The sequence below is a fragment of the Homo sapiens genome, chromosome 1, assembly GCF_000001405.40.
Source record: "Homo sapiens chromosome 1, GRCh38.p14 Primary Assembly".
NCBI classification, from domain to species: Eukaryota; Metazoa; Chordata; class Mammalia; order Primates; family Hominidae; genus Homo; species Homo sapiens.
In genome coordinates this window covers 120,243,994-120,271,436 of record NC_000001.11, presented here as the reverse complement: position 1 = coordinate 120,271,436, position 27,443 = coordinate 120,243,994, and the positions used below count along the sequence as shown (strand labels likewise).

The 27,443-nt window shown below is 39.7% G+C and overlaps 1 pseudogene; it reads right to left on the bottom strand.

Moving 5' to 3' along the window:
* The window catches only part of LOC100996723 (uncharacterized), a 123,106-nt pseudogene that overhangs the window by 48,683 nt on the left and 46,980 nt on the right, over positions 1-27,443 (bottom strand).

Below are 27,443 nucleotides of genomic sequence, written 5' to 3'. Positions count from 1 at the left end.
GAAAAACAGAAGAGTAGTGCTTTAAGTAACCCTTGACACTTTACATCAATTTACACATAGACAATAAATATGATCACTATTATACATATTTATCTAGGGTGGGTAGCGTGGAACTGTGAAAAGAGCAATAGCTTTGAACCATGAAGACCAACGTTCAAATCCCGGCTCTCCTTTTTTCTCATTGGGTCATTTTGGGGAAACTACTTAATAGTTAAGTATAGGAAGACAGTCAGAAGACTGGGATCTGGGCAGGATACTAAGAAGGTTGCAACTGTATCTGTAATGGTAACTTTTGTTTTTTCACCTGAGGAAAATAAACTAAAAATAATGTTTTCTAACATTTAGATATTCAACACATGGACAAGTGTTTAATTATTCTTTGTATATTCCTGTTGTTTGTAAAACAGCTTATAATTTTTAAAACTATTTTAAAGGGAATGAAAGTAGGAATTACAGGGAGACAGTTATCAATTAGATATAAGGATGAATTCTCTAGTAGAGTTAGATGTAATAAAGATATTGCCACACTCTATCCATATGTTTATACATCAAATTTTTACTGAGTACATACATCATGAGACAAAATAAACTTCCTGTCACAAAAGGTGCTTGACCAAAACTCAAGAATCGCCTTTCAGGGATACTGTTAAAAGTTTTCCCACATCAGCTAGGAGTTAGCTCTAGAGGGCTTTTAAGATCTTTGGCCATCCCGAAATTCTATGCTTGAAACACATTTTCTCATAGAAACGCTCCTACCAAAGGCCAGTGAGAGAACTATCACTTTGCGAAGAATTTCAGAATGCCCACTAGCTCTCCTGTAGCCCTAAAAGGTAATGAGAGTCTACCTGCTCAGACTGAGAGCTCCGGCTGCCTTGTGCTACAGAAGCAGTAAGTGCATGTAAAGGACGCCATATTTCTAAGACAAAAGCAGTAACAATGACTCAAGGATGATGCCCAATAGACGATTTAACCTATAACTTTGCTAATTGTCATATTTTCAAAACAGCCCTATGGGAAGGGTACACAAATGTCTGGGGAGTATTTCCTGCTTTTTAGCACCCAGGGAACTACAACCAGGAGCCCAGCTTATTTTGGATTGGGGATGGGGATAGACAAGAAGAGATGGGGCAGGAAGAAGAGACGGCTGGTTTATTTTACATACACATATTTTATTTATAATACATCTCTGTGTCTAGGCGTCTCTATGCTGTTCTCATAAAATCTGAATTATACAAATAAAAAGTTTAATTCCTGGCTGTTTTGAATGACTTGGGCCTGTATTACAAAATTAATCAGATACAATTATACTATCTTCACAACAACAATCATCTACATTGGTTTTGACAATGTACAAAGTACTTCCATGTGTATTATTTCGTTTATCTTTACCACAACCTTTGAAGTAGGAAGACATGATGATCCCCATTTTACTGCCTAGGACAGAGAGACATCAGGAGGTTAACTGACTTGTTCACTGAGAAAGCGGAGGAGCACAGACTATAACTCCAACAGTTCGACCCCATACTGCATACGCATCAGGGCCTTAATCATGAGACTGTATGACCCTTCTGAGCCTGGGATTCACTTGCAACTGGGTATTCCCTCTTCTAACTCAGGCCCCCTATACCTTTTCAAAAAGTGTCCTTCACTGTAAATAATCTTCCTGGTGGTGACCCTAAAGGATCTGACAACCTGGATCTATGTAAAAAAAAAAAAAAAAAAAAATTGTTTTCTTCATTTTCAAGATGAATAAACTAAAGTTGGCTCTCAAAGGGTTAAACAAAGAGTTACCATGTGGCCTAGCAATTCCTTTCCTAGTTATATACCCAAGAAAATTGAAAACATATGGCCACGTGAAATCTTATATACAAATGTTCATAGCAGCATTACTCATAATAGCCAAAATTGGAAGTATTTCAAATGTCCTTCAACTGATGAATGGATAAACAAAATTTAGCATATCCAAATCATAGAATATTACTCAGCCATAAAAAGGAATGAAGTACTGATACATGCTACAACATAAATGACCTTGACAACATTATACGATAATGTGAAAGAAGCCAGACACAAAAGGTCACATACTGTATAATTCCATTTATATGAAATGTCCAGAATAGGCAAATCCAGGCAGAAAGTAGATTAGTGGTTTCCAGGAACCAGGGAGAGGGAAACTGGGAAGTGAGTGTTAATGAGTATGAGGTTTCCTATTGGAGTGAGAAACACGTACTGGAATTAGACAGTGTGATGGTTGCACAACTCTGTGAATACACTAAAATCATAGAATTGTAAGATTTCAGAAGATGAGCTGTACAGCGTGTTAATCGTTTGAATAAAGCTTTGTTTTTAAAAGAAGACAAAGAAATAAACCAAAGCTGAGAGAAGTAACTAACCCAATCCTTTATCTTTTATAAGAGTTTTTTTAATGATAAAGACTCAGTTAAAGTCCAATTTGATTCAGTTCAGTTAAAGCTAAATGGCTTAGAATGAATCATGTCTAAATATTCTGTATACCAATCCTACCTATATTATAGGGCCCTAAAAGAAGGGTCAGACGAAGTATGCTCTAAGTGGCTCTCAGTACTGAATATTCACAGATTAAGTTTTACAAAAAGGTAAAGTTTTGTGATAACCCTCAGATAAAACAGAAACACATGACCTATGTTTTGACATAAAACATACGTATTTGGCCTGTTCTGAAAAATATGTATAATTTTCACACACCATATTCTACCAAGGAAAATGTCAACCAGAGCCAACCAACTTGGTGTTCCACTCATCAACTCTTTTATGCCAACATGGTGTTTCTGCCCTTGTCTCAGAAGCCAACTACTGATACCTGCTTCAGAAAACTGACTATGAATTCCACAAAGTCCTGCTTTTTTCTTTTGGATTGTACAATCAACAAACAAGTCACCCTTCTAAAACTCTGTTTCTGAAATTTTAACATAATTCCTGAAGTTCCAGAGTCTCTTAAATGCTAAAATATTAACAATACCATTCCATTTTTTCCCCTAACACTCAGAAGCATACTGATACCCATCCTGTACACAGCCTTTTCTTGCCTGATAACAAGAGCACTAATGACAGAGCTATTGCATCAGGTTGATTAATAAACCCCGTCTTAGGCAGCCTCATCATGTGGATAAAGAAAAGGAGTTAAGATGATGTTCCTGCTGCCTTCCCCAACATAGAAACACACCCACAACACCCCCAATCCTGGAATAACCAGATGTTAGCTTCATCATCACACTAGAGCACTGTAAACCACATCAAAACAAAATGAAACAAATAACAACTTCCCTGGCCACCAAAAATAGATGGCCCAGCCAGAAACAGTGCTGCCAGAGGCAGTTAAATGAGCTGCAAGGCAGGAATGACAGTTGAGCTGCAGTGATGCTGGGGCCTCCCAAGGATTACCAGACTCCAAACTAGATTCTCCATCACTTTGGTCCAATCAACATCAGCAGGACTTGGTATTTGTTCACAATTGGTCCAACTCAGATTATTTGCTGAGCTTCTGGAATTCAGAGAGAGTGACTTATGGGCTCACCTTTTTCTCTAGATTTTAAATAATCCTTTCTCCATTTTTTTCTAGGAGTGAAGGCAATTTTGAAGGCATGACTACGACCTGCTCTGGCCACAAGAGCTAAGAGTTGCCAGGTGTGGTGGCTCAAACACTTTGAGATGCCAATCCCAACACTTTGAGAGGCCAAGGCAGGAGGATTGCTTGAGGCTAGGAGCTTGAAACCAGCCTGGGCAACACAGTGAGACCCCATCTCTACAAAAAATAAAAAAACAGGCCAGGCGCAGTGGCACTTAGGGAGGCCAAGGTGGGTGGATCACCTGAGGTCAGGAGTTCGAGACCAGCCTGACCAACATGGAGAAACCCCGTCTCTACAAAAAATACAAAGTTTGCCAGTGTGGTGGCACATGCCTGTTATCCCAGCTACTCAGGAGGCTGAGGCAGGAGAATCGCTTGAACCCGAAAGGCAGAGGTTGCAGTGAGTGGAGATCACGCCATTGCACTCCAGCCTGCGCAACAAGAGTGAAACTCCATCTCAAATAAATAAATAAAATAAAGTTTTAAAAAGTCAAAATTATCCAGGCGTGATGGTATGTTCTTGTAGTCCCAGCTACTCAGGAAGCTGAGGTGGGGGATCACTTGAATCCGGGAGGTCGAGGCTGCAGTGAGCCAAGATTGTGCCACTGCACTCAAGTCTGGATGACAGAGCAAGACCATGTCTAAAAAAAAAAAAATAATAAACAAAACCAAAAACCAAGAGTCCACAGTGATACCATGAATGCCCATGGCTGCAACAATAATGCCTTGACCAGAAGTAGGGGGATAAGGGAAAAGATAGAGCCAACATGAACCCCGATTGACCCTCCCTTGCTCCATCCATGACAGAAAGCCTCCTATTTCTGAATTCACCAGGCTCATGCTGCCTCCAGGACTTTGCATGGGTAGCAGCATTAGCCTAGAATTTCACTTCTCTTTAATTCCCACCCATCTCTCACTTAACTAATCCCAACTCACCCATAAGGATCTAAGTCAGATATTACCTACTAAAAGAAACCTATCTGGCCCTAATGCCTGGGCAAGGGCTTCTCCTGAATGCTTCCACAGCACTGCGGACCTACTCTTATTGTGGCCCATTTCACAGTATATTGGGATTATCTGTTTGACTCTCTCCCCAGTAGATCTGGAGTTCCTTAACAACAGGAAGAATCTTCTTTACTTTTCTTCCAAAAACAGAAATCGCTTTACTGTTTTTTGTTTGTGTTGCTGTTGCTTCAATGGTCATAAAAGTACTACATGTGCCTGTTCCAGTTGTTCTCTTTCTCAGTGGAGGGCATAACCTAGTAGTTGACCAAGCAAGAAAACTTGACATCATTTATTCGTTCAAAACAAACAAAAAAGAAGAAAAGAAAAGGGCATGCCTACTATGTACCAGGCATTATGCTAATCACTGTATCTAGAAGTGAAAAGACAACCACTGTCCCTGCTATAGTGAGCTCATGTTCTAACAGAAAAGGCAGACTTTGAACAAATAACTCACGTTATTGAAGAGAGAGGTGAAGGTAGTCTGGAAGTTTACGACAAGGTGACAGTGGGTAGGATGTGAGTGAAGAGATGAATTGGTGATCAGTCATCTTTGGGTTTCTTCAGCCTCACTGGTTCTACATCCAGTCAATGGCTTAGCTCTATCAATTCTGCCTCTGAAATTTCTTTCACCTGTCCATTTCTCTAATTTTTATACTGGCATCTCCAGCAACCTTTGCCTGGAATACTGCAACTGTTTTCTCTGCCTCTAGACTACTCCTCCTATGCAGAGGCCATAAGGAAGCCAAAAGGATCTTTCTAAGAGGAAAATCTGATCATGTCACCTCTCTGTCTAAAAGCTTTCAGCAGTTCCCTTGAGCTCAGATAAAATTTAAAAGCCTTTACATAACTTGCAAGACTCTGTATGATGACTCCTCTCTCTTTTCTCTGGTTTCAGTTCTCTGCATTCCTTACATCCCATTCTCTAGGAATACTGACTATGGTTCTTTCTCTCATCGGGATCTTGATTCAAGCTATTTCCTATGCATGGAACATTCTTCATTCTCACACTACCACCCCCTTATTAGTGGCTACTTCTTATTCCTTCTTCAGGACCCTGGTTAGATGCAGTTTCCTCTAGGAAACTTTCCCTGAATCCCCCAATCTCTTCAGATTGAGTAAGTGCCCAGTTATATATTCCATAGCACTCTTTACTTCTATTACAATAATAATTACATTCTGTTGGAATTTGCTAATCTGTAGACTCTATGAAGGCAGGAACCATGTTTGCCTATTCAATATTGTATCTGCAATGCTTAAGGTATGCTGCACATAGTAAACACACTAGAATATTTTTTCAATGAATAGATAATTAAAATAAATATAATACTCAGTTATAAAGAAGGCAATAGGCTAATTCCATCATCCAGACATAATCAATATCAATGTTTTGGTATGTATCCTTCCAGACATTTCCATCTTTTCTCCCTCAAAAATGAGATCTTATTTTTTGTAATATTCAGTCAAATTGTTGTTGCCGTTGTTTTGTTTAATCTTAAATTTGTTATAATGGACATCCTCCCAAGTCAGTACATTGCTCTATAATGTTCTATTGTATATATATTCCACACTTGAAATAATCCTCACCTTGAGTACTAATATTGTATTGGTATAGAGAATACTGAAATATAAACACTCATCCTTGAACATACATTTTCTTTTTTTTGTTTTTTTTGAGACGGAGTCTAGCTCTGTCACCCAGGCTGGAGTACAGTGGCAATCTCGGCTCAGTGCAACCTCTGCCTCCTGGGTTCAAGCGATTCTCCTGCCTCAGCCTCCTGAGTAGCTGGGATTACAGGTGTGCACCACCACACCTGGCTAATTTTTGTATTTTTAGGAGAGACAGGGTTTTACCATGTTGGCCAGGCTGGTCTCGAACTCCTGACCTCAGGTGATCCGCCTGCCTCAGCCTCCTAAAGTGCTGGAATTACAGGTGTGAGCCACCACGCCCGGCCGAAAATACATATTTTCATACATTCATTCTTGATCATTGTGCAACTAACAGCTAGAACATGGCCTGGCACACACGATGCACTCATAAATGGATGAGTGGATTAACAAACAAATGAATAAGGGGGTCAGCTATCAGTAAGCATAATAAAATTGTGGCTAAGAGTTTAGGCACTAGAACCAGTACACTTATGTCCAAATCCCAGCTCCAGCACTTGCCATCAATTACTAGTGTTTTCCTAGCTTCAGTGTCTCTCTACAAACAAAGACAATGGTTGTACCAACCTCAAAAGACTATTAGGAGAACTGAATAAGATAATAAGGTCAAGCGCATTCTCAGAACTTGGCACACTGTAAGCACTTACAAATATTAATTGGTATCATGATCTTTGTTGCTATTTTTTAAATTTAGTATTGGAATGGAAATTATCATTAGAATGGAAACTTTGCAAAGTCCACAGAAAGAAAGATAAGGCTTCTCTTCGAACAACGGGAGAAGAGAAGAAAACAAGTTTTAATGAGGAGACAGAAAGGAGATAATTTAAAATTACGAAAAGAATTATTCTAATTCAAGTGCTACATTCTCTGTGAAAGTGGTTGCTCTCTTTTCTGTGTTGGTAATCATACCTTTCAGAATGTTCAGGGTTGTCCAACTTTTGTAATTTCATTCTTTTTGATAAAGTTTCTTTATTAATTGCATGACCAAATGTAAGCTAATATTTACAACTTTGAAAAGTTTACACACGCACACACGCGTGCACAAATTAGAAAAAATGTTCTATCCCAGTATTTAAGATTTATTTATTTATTTGAGGCAGAGTCTCGCTTTGTCGCCCAGGCTGGAGTGCAGTGGCTCGATCTCGGCTTACTGCAACCTCTGACCTCTGGGTTCAAGCGCTTCTCCTCCCTCAGCCTCCTGAGTAACTGGGATTACAGGCGTGTGCCACCATGCCTAGCTAATTTTTGTATTTTTAATGGAGATGGGGTTTCACCATGTTAGCCAGGCTAGTCTCGAACTCCTGACCTCAGGTGATTCGCTCACCTCAGCCTCCCAAAGTGCTGCAATTACAGGCATGATCACCACACCTCGCCATATTTAAGTTTTAAAAACATACATTAGTTTGGCAAGTACTCCCATCTTGAAATATCTCTTTCAATATTGCCTTAGATGTTATTTAAATTAAATCTTGTATAATTTAAATTTTTTTATGCCCCAATCAGATTGTACATTCTTTGAGAATGGAATCTCATGTCCATCTTTGTATATTCTACAGCACTCAGAAGCATTCCTTTTACTCTGTAGTTCTATAAGAAAAAAAGTAATTGATTTGATTCATATCTTTGGTAATGTTGCTTAGGAAAGAAAACTTTGCATGGAAAGTCTGTGGAATGCCTGTGTGTGGAAGCCTTCTGTTTCCCTTTTTAAACATGAGATTGAAAAGGGAAAACAAACTGCACTTGTGATTGCTGAAAGTTTAATATTTACCCCCTGCCTCCTAGTAACTTTTTGAATGTCTTAAGATACCAGTGAAAACAAAACCAGTATGTTTGGGACACTGTGGTTTGGAAGAATGAATGCATTTTTTTAAAATAAAAATGCACTTCACTAGTAGTATTCATTTTCCAAGGCTGTAATTAGAGAGAAACACTCGAGAAGCACCAAAATTGTGGAACATAAAGAGGGCAGTGACAGGACCCCAATTAACCTAAATTAGCACAGGTTACCCAGACTGTGATAACTCAGAGCTCCAGAAACTCCCCAAAATGAAAAAGCCTTCTGCTTTTAGCACTTTTTTTCTTCTTTTTTCTCCCCAAAGACTTCAAGATTCAAGTGGAAAAGTTCACCAGGATGGGTGGGACCTGAACAGGCTGACTCACTGCGGTTAGATTCAGACTGCCAAGGAAAGCTGCAGAGTACAGTTAGGCATACACTATAGCTGGTTTTGATGATATTTTCTTGTTAAAGACAACATTATTAGAAAAATGTGTAAACAGGACAGGGCAGTGGAGGCCCCCTCTTGATTTTATAGCCAAAGACTCCCACCCTTCCGTGGCTTTTCTGTACCGTCTGCCATGTTGATTCTATGTAAAAAACCCAAATGCAGGCATTCCACCAATGTAATGCTCTCCTTCTCTGAGAGTCCTTTCATTTCCCCAAGAGCTTTGGAATCATTGGAGTTACAGTGGTTCCGTTACTTTATTCTTATATAACTTTGGGCAAGTTATTTGAACCTTGATCTCTTCACTAGTATAATGGTTGTAAAAATAATATCTATCTCATAAGTTAGGAAAATGAACTGAAAATACACTAAATTAAATATGTCAAATATCTAGAAAAGTACCTGGTGCATAATGAGCACTCAAATAGTATTTATTGTTATTAGCTACTATTGTGATCTTCTTAATAAATCCTGTCAAATATTATTTCAAAAAGACTCTTTCTCTCCCGTCCTTTTCATTTTTAGTTTTATCGTTCCATTTAAAGTGGAAAAGAGGCCAGGCGCGTAGTTCGCGCCTGAAATTCCAGCACTTTGGGAGGCCAAGGAGGGTGGACCACTTGAGGCCAGGATTTGGAGACCAGCCTGACCAACATAGCGGAACTCCATCTCTACTAAAAATGCAAAACATTAGCCGGGTGTGGTGGCGGGAGCCTGTAGTCCCAGCTACTCAGGCAGGAGAACTGCTTGAATCCAGGAGGCAGAGGCTGCAGTGAGCTGAGATTGCACCACTGCACTCCAGCCTGGGTGACACAGCAAGACTCCTTCTCAAAAAAAATGAACAATAAAAAAATAAAGTGGAAAAGAAATGTACATTTCTTGACTTCCTAGTTTCCCATCCTACCCAATCAATTAACACACCAATACCCTCCTTAAAACTGTTCAACTTATTGTGAATACCAGGTAGAGGCAGAAGAGATACAAATCCAATAGGATATCTAATTTTTAATACTTTTCAGCTAGTTTAGTTGATGAATATTTACTGAGCACTTACTATGTACTACATCATGCTATATTCTAGAGACTAGAAAAGAATGGGCAAGAGGTGTTTTCTGCCCTCAAGGAGCTTAGAGTCTTGGTATATATTCTGGGATTAGAGAGTAAGAGAAGGCATCCTAAAATTAAAAAATAAATAAATTTAAAAAGGCACCTGAGCTGAATCTTGAAGGATGAGTAAACTTTAACCAAATAAACAATAGGAGAGAAAAGGTTTTCAAGGCAGAGGGAACAGCAGGTACAAATAAATGAAAGTATGAAACAGCTTTGAATTGCAAGCAGTTCAGAATTAATAGAGTAAAAATCATGTAATAGAGAATATTGGAAGACAAAAGTGGATTTACAGTTTACCTAGAGAGGCAGGAATCTGGTAGAATTTCAATCTGCATCAATCTAAATAGGAGGAACTAGTGATTCCATTTCCAAATAAGCCAACACCTTCATTAGCACCAAACTTTCACCAGCTGAGTTCCCCAACATAGGACATGCCCACTATCTTTAGGTCACAAAGACATCAGGTGTTTTCAGGCTCAATCATGAGTTATTGGGCAAGTTCCTTTGTTATTCTTTTTGCCATTAGTTCATCATTTGTAAACTGGAATAATAATCATGGCTTTTCTTTTTTTTATTATATTTGAAGTTCTGGGATACATGTGCAGAACGTGCAGGTTTGTTGCACAGTATACGTGTGCCATGTTGGTTTGCCGCACCCATCAACCCGTCATCTATATTAGGTATTTCTCCTAATATTATCCCTCACCTTGCCCCACAGCCCCTGACAGGCCCCTGTGCGTGATGATCCCCTCCCTGTGTCCATGTGTTCTCATTAGTCAACTCCCATTTATGTGTGAGAACATAGGGTGTTTGGTTTTCTGTTCCTGTGTTAGTTTGCTGAGAATGATGGTTTTCAGCTTCATCCACGTCCCTGCAAAGGACATGAACTCATTCTTTTTTTATGGCTGCATAGTATTCCATGGCGTATATGTGCCACATTTTCTTTATCCATTCTAACATTAATGGGCATTTGGGTTGGTTCCAAGTCTTTGCCATTGTTAATAGTGCTGCAATAAACATACGTGTGCATGTGTCTTTATAGTAGAATGATTTATAATCCTTTGGGTATATACCCAGTAATGGGATTGCTGGGTCAAATGGTATTTCTAGTTCTAGATCCTTGAAGAATTGTCACACTGTCTTTTATAATGGTTGAACTAATTTACACTCCCACCAGCAGTGTAAAAGCGTTCCTATGTCTCCACATCCTCTCCAGCACCTGTTGTTTCCTGATTTTTAATGATCGCCATTCTAACTGGTGAACATGCCTTTTCACAAGGTTGTTGTAAATGAGATCATGCTGTCACATACTTAGAGCAATATCTGCCACATAGAAAGTGATCATCAAATGCTAGCCAGTATTAAGTATGTGCTGCTGAAGTCTTGCTCATTCCAGAGATGCTGCAGCTGGGTGCTGTGATCAGTGAGAAAGCATAGGGCAAGGGATTTTTCTCAACACATCATTGTGACCATTTGTAGGTAAAATTTATTTCTGATCCAATAATGTGTTCAGATTTGTGATCATGGTACATAAACTTATGGCCCTGAAAAAGTCACAATTTCCGTGAGTCCTGGTTCCCTCACTTAAAAAATGGGGAGAGTGATGCTTGTTCTGTGTCTTATAAAGACAAAATAAAACAACTTATGAGATACACTTAACCCACTGCTCAATACACTAAACCCACTGCTCAATACACTAAACCCACTGCTCAATACACTAAACCCACAGAGAATCCCTTCATCAGTGGATTCTCTGAGTGGGGAAAAGCGCCTACATAACGAAGTTGGTAAGGTTGGGAAATTAATTAAATCACTCACTCATTCAAAAATACAAATGAAGCATATATGCTAAGCAATGCCCTCCTTTCATCATGGAGTGTAATACCTATTGACCTCAACCTGACAAACATACAATTGGAGTTTGTATACACATACAACCATGCTGTTGGTTGTGGGTGGAGAATGAAAGAAAAGAAACACTGTTGTATGTTGGAAATGTTGCTTTCTTTGTCCCTTTTTTCTACACCAACATAAATGATAATTGTCATTTTCGCTTGTTAATTGACTAATTATGTTTTGGTTCCATAATGTGCCAGTATTTGCATTTTTAGTCTGTTATCTCTTTCCCTGTAATCAAAGGGCCTTTTTTCTCTAGAATTTCCTACATCAGCAAACATTTTAGAGGTAACTGCATTACTGAACAATTATAATTACTTTTGACAGATTGAGTACTTTTAATATTACTTCTCTCCTGTTCTAACTCTCTTTTTCTTACCTCTCTATAGTCCAGTCTCTTATTTGAACATATCTCTCTTTCTTCCCCCAAATCTCCCCTCTGTCTGGAATATTATACTCTACTTCTCTGACTAGTAAAATCTAACTCAGCTTTGGAGACCCTGCTCAACGTGAAGCCCCCAGGAGAAATGTCCTCTGGTAAGAGGCCTTTCCCTACTCCTTTAATAAAAGTAGACATTTTCTCTCAAGATCTCAGAGTGTACTGTCCTTATCTCTATGAAAGCACTTGCCATGCTATATTGTATTTAATGCAATGTCTGTACTTCCAAATAGACTATAACTATCTAAGGGCAGGAACTAAAGTATCTCATTTAATGTGATCATGTGTTTGTTGCATGGATAAATGAAATAAGAAGGGATTCCTGGCTGCTTCTTCCAGGCCTGTATCCCTTTGTCTTTAAGCCCTGGAGGAGTCGACCCTACTTTGGCAAAAAACATTTAGCATGTCCCTTCCTCTCTCTGAGTACTGCTACCTATCCTATATCCCAAGGCTATCGAATGCATATTTTAAACTTTACAGAAAATACCATGTTATTTAGTATTTTACCATTTTTAGGGTAGGGCATAGGAATGTGTTCCTATCTCTCCTATATTTTTTCTAACCAATGTTTTCTCTAATTTTTAAACCCTTTCATGGAGGCGTTTTGTATTTTAGGTGCTGTCATTCAGAGTCCACAGGATGGATGAATGGATATGAAAATGAACAAACGTGTGACACAACACTGCATGATTTACCGGCAATGACTTTCTGATCAAGCCTGAAGTGGGTTGTAGCCTCTTTATTTACTTTTTATTTGACACATAGCAGAGAGAGATTTAAACTATCTCTTATTGGCCTTTTCCCTGCGTCTTAGCTTGGTTTCTGTCAGTGTTTCCCAGCATCGAGAAATAAGGACTAATCTGTCATATTAGATCTAAACTCTAAAAGAAAAGGACTTTGGGCCTTATATCTGCCACCCATTCTTTCAATGGAGGTGACACCCCTCATTTCTATATTTCCAGTCATCTCTCAATGAAAAGGAACATGCAGGCTGGCTCGCCTTTGGAGAGCACCCCACACAGTTTTGAGGAGCTCTGCAGCTCTGCTTGCCCTTTCTGCATCACAGCAGATCCAAAAGGTGAAAAAAAAAACAAAAAAAGGAAGGGGTTGAGGTGTTAGCATCCTTGCTTCCCCCACCAGCACCACACAGCTGTTTGGAGGTTTAGTCTTCAAAAGCCTCTTGATTACCATGCAAACTCTCCATGTCTTAAAAAAAACATACACACAGTATACATGAGAATGCTAAGCATAAAATTTGAAGAATAGGCTGTTAATTCTTAGGCACATGTTATATGGTGCATATCCTTTGCCCACAGAAATATCTGGTAGGATGTACAGAAAGTATTGGTGAAATATTTCTACTTACAAATTGAGGGAAGATGGGGTAAACCCATGTCAACACAAAATTTTTTGAGATTAGAATTTTACTTTTTTTTTTCTGTCAAAAGTTATCAATTCCAATTCCAGAATGAGAGAAACCCCAGTATCTCACAGACTATTTACACATTATTTATGTGGGACCTGCTTGCTGGGTATCCCTGAGGGGGCACCAAAGAGCTATTTCTTTCTTCCTTTTTTTTTTTTTTTTTAGAGCACAAGCGTGTAAGAAATTCCGGCTGCCTGTTTCTGGGCTATTTAAATCCCAGTAGACATGCTCTCTTGTACAGACTTCCTGGGCTCAACCCAGCTCACAGGGAGCTGGGGAATCTGTATTACATTATCAGTTATTGTTTTTGGTCAAATCTAAGGACAAACATATGAAGAAGCAGAGCATGCAGCACTGGTTCAGGAGGTTCAAGCAACATTATCAGATTCTTGTTGAGAAACAAATGGTTGTTACTGTGCCACCGCACACTGCAGACAATTCCTAGATATCGAGAGAGGTCCAAGCTAGCAACAGAGAATTTAATACTAGCTGCTGGACCGGGACTCCTGGGCTCACTATGTTGCAGCTACAGATTCTCAGAATGCCATTTAAACTTCCTGAGTTTATCTGAGAAGTAAACCAAGGGTGTAGGTGATGAGGCAGCATTTACTGGTACAGTTAGTCCCCCCTTATCCACAGTTTTGCTTTCCATGGTGTCAGTTACCCACAGTCAACCACAGTCTGAAAATGTTAAATAGAAAATTCTAGAAATGAACAACTCATAAATTTTAAATTGCACATTGTTCTGAGCAGCATGATGAAATCTCGTGCCATCCACTCTATCTCACCCTTGAATCATCCCTTTGTCCAGCACATCCAGGCTGTATATATCGCCCACCAGTTAGTCACTCAGTACTGTCTGGGTTATCAGATTGTTGCAGTATCACAGCGCTTGTGTTCAAGTAACTCCTATTTTACTTAACAATGTAAAAGTGCAAGAGTAGTAATGCTGGTATATTGTTATAATTGTTCTATGTTATTATTAACTACTGTTAGCCTCATTAACATTTAATTTATAAATTAAACTTTATCCTAAGTATGTATGTATAGAAAAAGACATAGTAAATATAGGGTTCAGTACTATGCAGTTTGAGGCATCCAAAGGAGGGACTGCTGTACAGGCAAGGGTCCATAACCACACCCCCCAGCACACAGCTGACAGAGCATATGTTTATTGGGACATGCTCTTGAAAGAGACACCATAATGATAATACCATCCATAATCCGGACCAATCCATGGGTCATATTTTTATCAGGCATCACTATTCCATAGTACTGCTTCTAATTGGGATAACAATTATCCACTCACATGACTTACCTTCTCAAAGTCTCGAATAGCCTGGGTCTGTACCTGAGGGGGTTTCTCAAATGCTCTCAAGGAATATGTCTGCACAAACGGGACCTTTTCACCACTTCTCCAGATCTGTGACTGCACTGGAGGGCCTCGATCTTTAGTGTCACTAAGAAAAGCTGTCAATGAAACAGAACAACAACAAAAAAGGTTTATATAATAACAGCACTAGGATCATTCTAACTGGCACATTCCAGCAGAATTCAGTTTCTGCAAAATACAAACTCAATCTAGGCCACATAGAAACAGTTTACTTAAAGTAGTCTGTGGTAGATCATATTAATAGCCATCCCCAGTGAATCAAACTAGTTTGGGTCCATAGGCCTTTGCAATGTGATACTCCTGCCATTAAGAAGTAGAGCCTATTTCCCCAACTCTTGAATCTGGGTTGGCAAAGTGGCTTGCCTTGACTGGCAGAATATGATATAAATGCTACTGTATGAGTTCCAGAGACTAGCTTTGAGAGGCCTTGCATTTCTGCTCTTGCCTTATTAGCATCCCAAGACAACCATGCTGTGAAGAAGTCAGTCTACCCCACTGGAGAAGGAAAGGCTGTTCAGGGAAGTGAAGATGCCCCAGCTGACAGTCACCACCTGCCAGACATGTGAGCAAGGCTGTCTGAGACCTTCAGTCTCAGTCAAGTCATCAGAAAGTTGCAGCCAGTTGAGTGATCCCAAGTGAGACCAGCAGCGATAATGCCCAGTTTGCCAAAACAGAATTGTGAGAAATAATAAATCATTGTTGTTTTAAGCCAGGTGTGGGCAGACATTTTCTTAAAGGACCAGACAGTGTTTTAGGCTTGTGGGTCATATCATCTCTGGCACAGGTACTCAACTCTACCCTGTAACACAGAGGAGACACAGACCATGTGTAAATGAATGAGTGTCACTGTGTGGCTATAAATCTTTACTTATAAAAACTGACTGTTGGCTCATGGGCTGTAGTTTGCTGCTGACCCCTGTTTTAAGTCACTAAGTTTTGGGATGGTTTGTCACATAACAAAAGGTAACCAAAACAGTCTAAAGGAAAGAACCAAGCTGCTAGCAAACTATCTCTACCGATAATTTTTCAGGTTACTATTTAGTAATAGTAACAATTATAACAGCCAACATATTTAAAGGGCATTACATGTTACAAAATAGTTTCACATGAATTATTTCATTTATGAAGTCGCTGCAATCAGTGAAATAGACATAAGTGATTATTAAGTCCATTTTACTGATGAATAAGTAAAGATTCAGAAAGTTTGCTTGACCAAGATCACATTGCTAAAAAGTGGCAGAACCAATGCCATATTTTCTCCATCTGTCTTTCTTAGCAGTATGCTACTACTGTGTTATTTTAGCAATTAAAGGGATTGCAATAGGTCTGAGAGTGGGGAAAACAGGTAAAGAGGCAGAGACTCAATCACTCCATTAACCAATGGAAGCATTGCTTTGGGAGAACCTAGTGGAATCTAAGCTGTAATTAACCCTATGCTTGCTTTTGAGAAGTAACATTGTTAAAGAATGAGAAATCAACCCTGCCTCATGTTGGGGCAGGGTTGGAGTTACAGACAGGTAGAAAACATAGAAAGCTACATACTTTCTTGGCTGACAGAAGGAAATAATGAACTTTTATTATGGAACTATTTTTTAAATAAGAAGACAGTCATGGCAAAGCATTAAGCGCTACAGACAGTGTCAGGGCAAGTAAGAGCAAAACAGGTACTGGGTGACTGCCTGGCTGAGGAAAAGTTAACTAGACACTTGGGGAAAGGAGATCCAAGGGAGTAAGAGGCAAAATGCCTTTGCATGCTTTTCTTCCGATCTCTTTTTCTTTCTCTCCTTCTCACTCTCTCCCTTCCTTCCTTTCTTCCTTTCTCTTTCTTTTTTTTTTCTCTTTTCCCCCACCTCTCTGCCTGCCTCCTTCCTTCCCTCCCCTCCCCTCCCTTCCCCCTCCCTCCCTCCCTCCCTTCCTCCCTCCCTCCCTCCCTTCCTTCCTTCCTTCCTTCCTCCCCTCCCTCCTCTCTCCCTCCTTCCCTGCCTTCTTTCCTTCGTTCTGCCAACTTGCCAGAAGGAGCCCAAGAAAAAGCACCCAGATGCTTCAGTCAACTTCTTAGAATTCTTCTTTTTTTTATGTTCAGAAAAGATGGAAATTCATTTCTGCTAAAGAGAAAGAAAAAATTTGAAGACAGGGTGAAGGTGAACAGGCCCATTATAAGAAAGAAACAAAAATCTATATTCTGTCTACAAGGAAACGAGAGAGAGAAAGAGAGAGAAGAAAGAAGTTCCAGGATTCTAATGTACCAAAGGGATCTCCTTTTTCTTGTTTTGTTCTGAAAATTTCACCAAAAGAGCACAGGAGAACATCTTGGCTAATTCATTGGCGATGATGTAAGAAAACTGAGAGAAATGAAAGAAATGAAGAATTACTGCTGCAGATAATATACAGCCTCGAGGAAAGAAAGGCTTTTAAGATTATAGATATAAAGGCTATTGCTGTATTCTGGGATAAAAGAAAGTCTGATGCAGGGAAAGGGGAAGTTGGAAAAACTGGAAAAAGAAAAAAGAAGAAAAGAAAAAAAGGACTGGAAAGACATTGGTGAATAGAAAGATGAAAAGGGTGAAGAAAAAAATGATGATAGTCAATAGGATGGTTTTAAAAGAGGCTTTTGTTTTATTAATTTGTTTTTGTGTGAGTGTGTGTGTATGTGTTTGTTTTTTGCCTAAAAGTATTTAACTCCCCATTACACCACTGATTTCAAAGAAAAAAAGCTGAAATGTAAGATCATATGATTTGTTTTTAAACTGAACACTGTATACTGTCTTTTTATTTTTGCAAAATTAATGTAGTATCCAGTGTGTCTTTAGATAACCCTGTCCTTAATGATATTTTCAATAGCCACTAACCTTGCCTGGTACTGTTTCGGGGTTTAAACTAGAACAGAAATCTAAGGCAGGCTTTATTAATGCATAGTACAAATCAATTACATATATATGGAGATATTATTTTTCCCTCTTCAATTGTTTTTCATGCAGCTTACCCAATATAATTGTTCTGTTAGTTGTACACTACTCTGTGATAGCAAATAATAATAATAAAATAATTATGATGATATTGCCCCTGTTTTGGTGATATTCTGAATGTTTATACGTAAATGCAAAATTTTTAATTAAAAGTAATTAGAGGCTGGGCATGGTGGCTCACACCTGTAATCCCAGTTTTTTGGGTGGTTGAGGCAGGTGGATCACTTGAGGTTAGGAGCTCAAGACCAGCCTGGCCAACATGGCGAAACCCCATCTCTACCAAAACTACAAAAATTAGCCAGGCGTGGTGGCAAGCGCATGTAATCCCAGCTACTCGGGAGGCTGAGGCAGGAGAATTGCTTGAACCTGGGAGGTGGAGGTTGCAGTGAGCCGAGACGGCACCACTGCACTCCAGCCTGGGTGACAGAGCAAGACTCTGTCTCAAAAATAAACAAATAAATAAATGTAATTAGAAAAAATGATTTCTTCCACATTTAGGTGAAATTAAATATACTACTAAGGGGAAGATAATCTGATAAAACAGAATAACAATACATTACAGTTAGATTGGTGGATATGATAGAAAGAGCAATGCCTTGAGGCTTGGATTTGAATCCTGACCACTTGCTAATTGTGGGAATTTAGGCAAATCTCTTAATTTTGCTGATATATTGCCTCTGTAAAACAGGGGTAATAATATCTGCTTTATAGAACTGTTCTATGGATTAAATAAAATAATAAAAGCACCTTGCCACATGTATTATATGTAGTAAGCATTTTATCCATTCCCCTCACATTTTTGCCCTAGTCCTTCAATTTTTGCCTCAAAATGTAGAATATTGACATTTAAAATGTTGAGCACAGTAACCCTTGGAATTTGTGGATTTAACACACATTTCAAATACTAATTTTAAGTGACTCTGAAATTCTTAACTTATTCAAATTAAAAACTTTTTTCCAAATTGTGCATATAAACAATCTGTGCTTCCAGGCTGTTATGAAAAAGGCAAAGAACTTAGCAAGGAAGTAAAACCCTCAGGTCGAGAACAAGTTTTGTGGAAAATAGACCCCAAAAGAATATTATCTTCCCTTTGGTTTTGCAATTCAGGTAGATCTCTGGCTAATGTTAGTGTAGTAATAATTGTGCTGTTGTTAGGAATACATTAATAGTAACAATAGATAAGATACAGAGTGCTTATTCCTTGATAGCCTCTGTACTAAAAGCTTTTCTCAATCTCACCTATGAGATTAACATTATTATTGTACCCATTTTATTTATTTATTATTTTATTATTATTTTATTTTTTTTGAGACTGAGTCTGCTCTATCACCCAGGCTGGAGTACAGTGCCACGATCTCAGCTCACTGCAACCTCTGCCTTCTGGGTTCAAGAGATTCTCCTGCCTCAGCCTCCTGTGTAGCTGGGATTACAGGCGTGGGCCACCATGCCTAGCTAATTTTTGTATTTTTGGTAGAGATGGGGTTTCACCATGTTGGCTAGCCTGGTCTTGAACTCCTGACCTCAGGTGATACGCCCGCCTCAGCCTCCTAAAGTGCTGGGATTACAGGCGTGAGACACCATGCCCGGCCTATTATACCCATTTTAATGGTGTATTAAGATAAAGATTTCATTTTAGTAACATAATTTATTTTAATCATTGTACAAGTGAGTTTAGCCTTGCAATTACAGAATCGTTAAAAGTATGAAGAATTCACATAAGTATCTGTAATGATTTACTGTACTATGCTGCTTCTCAGTACATAGAATTATAGCTAGCTGATAATTCTCGTGTGAAATTGCTACAGTAGTATGTGCTAATTTGGAAATTCACAAAAGTTTGAAGATATTGCCATGATGAATTTAAAGAGGCCATAATTCAAGAGAATTAAGATCAATAGAAAACCAAGAATTGGCCAAGTGCCAATTTCTCTCACACACTTTGGAAAGCTGGAGTGGGTGTATTGCTTCAGGTCAGACATTCAAAACCAGCCTGAGCAATATAGCAAGACTCCCACCTCTAAAAAAAAATATTAAAAATTAGGCATATGTCTATAGTCCCAGCTACTCGGGAGGCTGAGGTGAAAGGATAGCTTGACCCCAGGAGTTTGAGGTTGCAGTGAGCTATGATCACACCACTGCACTACATCCATAGTGAGAGAGTGAGACCCTGTCTCAAAAGAAAACCAAATGAATAAACAAAAGAAACAAAGAATTTAACAAGGCAAGGCCCACAGCATCCTTACCTGCTGTGTGACTCGTTCTGGGTACCATCTCCCCATCATCCTCTGCAAAATAATCTCTGTGGAGGCAAACACATCATTAATTAATGAGATACTACCCCACAAGGCTCCCATCCCAGGGATCGAGGAGAAGACACCTACCTATTTGTCATTTCTATTTATCTCTCTGCAAGTATTTACTAAGCTTCTATTATGTATCAGGGACCGTGTCAAGTGCTAGGGATACAAAGGCAAACACCACAGAAGAGTTCCTATTCTCAATAAGTACATGAGAGCCAGCCATTAAATAATTTCACAAGAATTAACTACTATTGTAGTAAATGTTGTGAAGGAAAATGCAGAGGGAACTTAACTAGCACAGGGACTCAGAGAAACTCAGGGAAAGGAACATTTAAACGTAGATGGGAGGATGTCAACCAGGTGTAGAATGGGAGAATGGGAGTGGAAGAGTGTTCCATCATGAGAGAACAGCAAAGGCCCTGAGTCAGAAAGGACTCTGGCCTGTTAGAGGAACAAAGAAAGCCAATGTTGCAACCAGGCCACGCAGGACCTTGTGGTATGGGGTAAGGCCACTGAGTCTAATGTGAAAAGCTATGGGAAATCAATGAAGGATTTTAAATTAAGGAAAGAATGGTAATGATCAGATTTATATTTTAGATAGGTCATTCCAGCTGCATTCTGGCTCTACACAGTGAGACTGTGGAGGGGCAAAAATGGATGGTGAGAATCTATATTCCAAATAGGAAGTTGTGATGGTTTAACAAAGGGGAAATTTTAAAAATTTGAGATATGTTTAGAAAGTAGAATTGACACAGAAACCTTGAAAAACAGACAAAGTTTATGAGTGGAAATGTTAATAACACCATGATTCAGTAGCAAGAGGTGTATCTGTTCAGCATAGTAAATACCACCATCCCTAGCAGAGAGGGGACAGTATCTCAAAATGTATTCAACAAATACTTCTCAAGCCCATGCTTGACAAGTGCTTTTAGGCACTGTTGTAAGCTCCACAAATGTAGCAGTGAGCAAAACAGACAAAAATCCCTGCACTCATGGAATTTTTACAGTAAGGGGAGACAAATAAATAAATTGTATAGTAGCAGTTGGGAACAAGTGCTATAAAAAAAAGTAAAGTGGGGAATGTGGATAGGGAGAGCTGGAGGTAGGAGGAGGTAGAGGGGATTGCAATTTTCAGTAGACAAGGCTGCTCTATGAAGCCATAAGGACAGGCATGGGGGTCTCTAGGGAAAGAGTCTTCTAAGCAGAGAACATAAAATGCAAAGGCCCATAAGAGGGAGCATGCTAGTTAGTGGCTGGGTGCAGTGAGCACGTGGTGAGCAGTAGGAGGTGAGGTCAGGGAAGTAATGGGAAGACTGGGCAGGGGGCGCAGACTGTTTGAAGCCTTTCAAGACATGGAGAGGCATTTAGCCACTAGAGTCTTGTGAATCAAAAAGAAAGACGGACTCAGTGACTAATGTTTTAAAGGGGGACTGTCTACTGTCTTGACAACTGACTGTCTGATGGGGATGTCAGAAACAGATGATTTCAATAACCCTACAGAAAGATGCTTTCAATAGGTAGCTTATTCTTTAAACTCTTGGGGGCTCCCAAGAATTCTGTAAACAGAGATGTAGAGGACTTCTCTCTTTCTCTCTTTTTTTTTTTTTTTTTGAGACAGAGTTTTGCTTTTGTTGCCCAGGCTGGAGTGCATGGCACGATCTCGGCTCACCACAACCTCCGCCTCCCAGGTTCAAGCGATTCTCCTGCCCCAGCCTCCCCAGTAGCTGGGATTACAGGTGCCTGCCACCATGCCCGGCTAATTTTGTATTTTTAGTAGAGGCGGGGTTTCTCCGTGTTGGTCAGGCTGGTCTCGAACTCCTGACCTCAGGTGATCCGCCCGCCTCGGCCTCCCAAAGTGCAGAGGTTACAGGCATGAGCCACTGCGCCCAGCCTACAGGACTTCTCTTTTTAAAAGCCAGAAGATATTCACAGGGAGGCAGAGGAGGACCTGGCATTTGCTTGGAAATTGGTGGTTTTTTCTTCCCTGCCTCAGGGCTGGATCTTGGCAGAAATCTTCACTTTGTTAAGTCCCAGATGGACATGAAAATACCAGACAGGGCACATCGGGCTACACATGCCACCTGACAATTATTTCGTATCCAAAAGTAGATCACCAGCTTGTGATTCTTCCAGGCCCCCTGCCTCTTTCCCTTCTCCTCCTTAAAAGCTTTCCCTGAGAGTAAACAATGCCAAAGAGGAATGTACTACGTATGCACTCCCCTCTGTGGAGGTAAAATAGGAGAAGGATGTCAAAACCATCAACCAGAACAATGTCTTAAAAAAATCTGTGGGGAAAAAATTTATACTTAGCTGCTGCTATTCACTGAGCATTTCTGCCTAGTCCACAGACAAAGGTGGCTGCATCTGCTGTCAGGAGCAAGGTCAACCCTCGGGCCAAATTCAGCCCATCCGACATGTTTTATTTAGCCCACACAAGTTTGACCCACTTCTAACTGCTCTTGGGAAATGAGTGGGTCTGCCAACACTGGGCCTGCCTTCCCACACAGCGGGAGAACTTGCCCCCTTTACACAGGACAGGGATGTGTTTTCCAGTTTGCCACAGTCCCTGCCACTCCCTGTCCTTGTCGTCCCTCATTCACTTAATTATGATACTTGCCTGGCATCTTGCAGGTTTCTGATGCTGTTACCCCAGTATAGACCAAGTGCAGACAGAATTTCATTTCTGCTTTATTAAGACACAGTCTTGAGAAACCCATTGGCTTCACACACAATTAATTAATTTGTGGCAACAAGCTACTATATTGGCTTGCATGTCACTTTCACCTCTCTGGGCATTAGTTTTCTCTAATATTTATAAAAGAAGGACATGACTTTCTAAGGTTCCTTGCAGTAATTATGCAACTCTATTCTAATAGATGCTTAAACATAAAACCCATTTTAATACTGTCCAAGGATCCAGGATACCTTCCAGACATGATCTCACTCAATCTTCTCTGCTCTGCAGATTGCACATTATAGGTCAAGAGCAAGCTACAACACAGCAATACATATCAGCCCTACCAGACACCTCACCCTTCCCGCATCACCCACACCCACTCTGAGCACACTGCCTGCCTGATATGAATCAATAACTGGAAGGATAGAGAGGTCACTTTAGATGGGTACTGAGTTAATAAGCATACTCGCAGTGTCTCAGGAGATTTTTAAGAAATCACTTTAGCTCTATTAACAGCTCAAGTTCCCTCTCTTATTGCCAGAGAAAGGGGCTCACTCAGCTGCTCCACAAGTTACAAAGGAATCTGACGCTCCCCAAGGGAAGGGGCTCAGAGTGAGGAAACACAGAGTATAAGTCTAAGGGGTTGCAATTTGTGACAACATTTGATAAACCAAAGTGCAAGGAGAATTGGGGTATGGTAGAGACAGACTCCAAGCATGGACACACACACACACACACACACATACACACACACACACACAAAGTGGTAATATATGTTGGTACATTCTTTCGTATTACCCAAGTTCAGAAAAAAATTTTATATCCTTGTCCTAGTTTCTCAAATTCAAGTGTCTCTAGCTTTTTAAAATATCAATCCATGAATGACTCATGCTCAGCTAATATGTGGTTCACCAGGCCACTTTTAGCTCTCCTGCATTTCCATATATAATCTTTCTCCCATGATGCTTTCACTTAAAATTTTGCTTTTTCTGTATAAATGAACTATATTTTTCCTCAGTGTCTTACCTTGTCTTTCTCCCTACGTCATCAATCTGCTAATGACAATACCAATTCCACTAAAACCACATATATTAATATTCTCACCAGGACATTATTTTGCTTTTGGAAGTACCAAGCATTTTCCAAGTACAACCTACTCACAAGCTGTTCACCTGCTTGATTTCTGCATGGTATATCACTCATATTTTCTTGAGTTGCTGATAAGTAGCTATTAAGATATTAGACTCAAATAATACATCAACATTCAATATCCCATATTACTTGGTTTTTCTATGGCTTTCCAGGGTGATTATGTTGAGAATGATCAGGAAATAATTGCTTCTCTGAAGGCCATCTGCCACCCCCTGATATTCTGACATTCTCAAACTGTCCTGTGATGATTTCTTCCAGTAATTTTCTAAGAATGGTAGTTTCATTTATGGCCAGGGTTATCCAAAACACTCAGTTTTGCTTTACTTGAAACTGGCCACTGATATAGCTCCTTTCAAGATTCAAGCATCTCATTGGTCCCACTAGTCTAGTTTCTCATAACATTGTGGGGAGGGGTAGACACTTGGGTTTCTTCTTGCTTAGGAGCCTGCAGAGAGAGATATTTTCTATAAGGCAGGTATAGACCTTCCTCCGTAAACTGTTATTTCTGGTATTATTTTCTTGTATTTTAGTCTGTCTAATTTGTGGACTGAGAGGAACAACAGATCATATGAATGAATCATCTCATTCAAAAGCAATGACAAGATGGTAATCATCATTACAAAGCAGGTTCTATGAGTCTTTGAACAGTATGAGATATTTGTATTCTAGGACCAAAATCACCACTAAAACTATTTCTAAGGTACTGATGCCTGTCTAGGCTCCATACTTTCTTCTCTCCAGTCTCACCTACTAAAATAATTAACCTAAGGTTATTTATTCCCATATGAGTGTCTAAACTCCCAAAGGAATGGTGATTTTCAGGCCCTCTCTTCAGGCCAATCACATGTATTTAGTTTGTTCTGAGAACCACATAGTCTGGCCCTCCTACTTCATCACTAACCACCACCCTTGCTTAACATTTCTAAGCCTGAAGACCAGGGCCATCTCCCAGAGGCATTTTCTAGCTTTCAAGCTTCTTTATATATATATATATATATTTTATTATTATGAACAAAAATTCAGAAGGAGAAAAAACAATCTGCTATAGCAATACCTAGAGCGAAAACCTGGGCCTTCATTGCTATTTTTAGGGTTTTTATAATTCCATTTTGTAAACATTTATTGAGAAGTTGCTTTTATGCCAGGTACTGGAAATACAAAGGTGAAAAAGTATATATACCCTGTGGTTAAAGTACTCAGAATCTATTGAGGGAAGCAGGCACATGATTCAGAGAGATAATTATTAGAAAAATTAGATTTAACAGAGATTTCAGAACATAAATAAGATAGCAATTAATTTTGTCCTGGTGGGGAGTGGGCTGGGACAGGGTGGTTGGCGGAGGGGTCTAGGACATTTACAGAAAACAGATAACACTGAATCTAGGTCTTAAAGGATGGGTGTAAATACACAAGGAAACATAACAAAGACCCAATTATAGGAAAATGAACGGTGTGTTCAGGGGGCTTTCATTTTGTTTTCCCCTTCCCAACCACCCCGCTCCATCTTCCCCCCACCCTGAGGAGCCCTAAACTGCCTCCTAGGACATCTTCCAACTTCCTGTTTACCTTTCCCCCTCCTCAAGCCTTCCTCCCCAAGCGCTCACCCTCAGGTGGGAATATGAAGGGAAGCCAAGGGTGAAAATGTTTCTTCATTTGCACCTCCCTCCTCAAACACTATAGCTTAGAAGCCCCCAAAATGATTTAAAATAATGTCAGCAAGAAAGGGGCTAAGATTTGCACTATTGTGAAAATACCCATAGAAACAAACTAGAAAAGAACCCAGAGAAATGAAAAGTCTGGAGGTTTAGAGTGGCGGAAAATATACTGAGCATCCTCCCCCTTTTTTTCTTACTATTTTTGCCAAAAGGCTAATTCTTATTTTTAAAAAGTTTGAATAATCTATTTTTATTGAATTTACATTGCTCTTCCTAATTAATGACCTTGATAAAAGATGAACTATGGAAAGGATTCGGCTCGGTGTGGCCTCTCAAACAGTGAGGGGCATGTGGCATGACAGCAAGACTGCTGAAGTTTGCTCTTTCTTGGGGTCCTCACAGGAGTAGGCATTGAACCAAATGCAGATTCTGTTCCAATTCCCATATTCTTGGAGCTCATTTAACATGAGTTGCTGGTTTCTGTTTCAAATGAAATAAATTTTTCAAACGTTCCAAGATGCATCTTTCCTATTTTTAATTTACAGCTATATTCAACTGTGGCAAACACAAAAGGGTCAGAATGAGAAGAACTGTGGCCTATTTTTTAATATGGGAAGCTCTGGCCCTGACAGTTTATAAATGGTAAGATTTTAGAAATAGTGTCAACTTAAAAACAAAGACATCTACAGTTAACAATTTCTGGACTGCTGGTGCATAATTTTATAATTCCACAGGTTTTCTTGCACTGGAATTTTCCTCAATACTAATCTTGTATTAAATGAACATATTATTATCATGGACAACCATCACCACTCACCACCAATGCTGCCTCTGCAATTTACTGAATGCCTGATACTTTCTAGGCATCAGTTCATTCAGTCATCATAGAATCCTGTGAAGTACGTCATACAATCCCTGTTTACAGATGAGGAAACAAGGGGCCTGGAAGGATAAAGTAATTTGCCCAAGATCGCACAGCTAGTTGGTGTCAGAGCCTGAACTTGAAAACTGTCTATTTGACTCCAAACTTTTACTCTTCCCAATATGCCCTATTTCTAACCACACATTTACAGGGAACCTCCTTTGTACCTGCCTTGACTCCAGGGAACTCACCCCTGAGAAGCTGAGGCGAAAGGAAGGGTGGACGGTTTGCTGTGCTAATGAGATGGGAATTTTGTCTCAAACCCTGACACAAATTTGTTTCTTAGACTATCAACTTATCCCTGATGGGCACAGCTTACACTTGAGTATTTGAGTACTGGTGTAACAGATGCCATGTGACAAAATAATTAAAATCCCAAAACGGAAGTGGCTAGTGTGACTTTTTATATAGGTCCTATCGTGAAAAGTGAGTCATCCATCATTTTATACTTCTCTATCTCTAACCCACTTTTTTCAGAATATTTACATCTTTCTCCAACCCCTCCCGTGATAACACTTGGCATTGTCCCTACCCAAGGGAATAAACTGAAACGCGGGAAAGGTGGTGGAAACAGAAACAATCAAAGTGGAAAAGGCATTAGTGAACAAGCTCTGAGACTTCTCAGATGTTTTTTTTTCCTCTTGCCAAGGAGAGACACTGGTTATATTTTCTATGTTCCAAATGTTGCCAAATACCCTCCCACAATGTGGCACCCGAATTGTAAAAACACATATTCAAATGCAAATAGGGTAAAAGCCCCAGATGCAGAACGTTAAGACTATTATATAATACAGTGAAATTATCATTTTTTCTCATCTCAAGATCTGTCATTATAACCTCTGCAAGTGAGGATGCTTAATTGGCAAAGCTCCCAGAGGAGAGAGAGCATCACGGTGAGCCTCCTTCTGCATGCTGACTAAGTGTGGGCCGACTTGGCACCGATACAGAAACATCCACTTTATTCCAGTATAGGCTGCAATTACACCCTTCACTCAAAGTCTATTCACTGACAG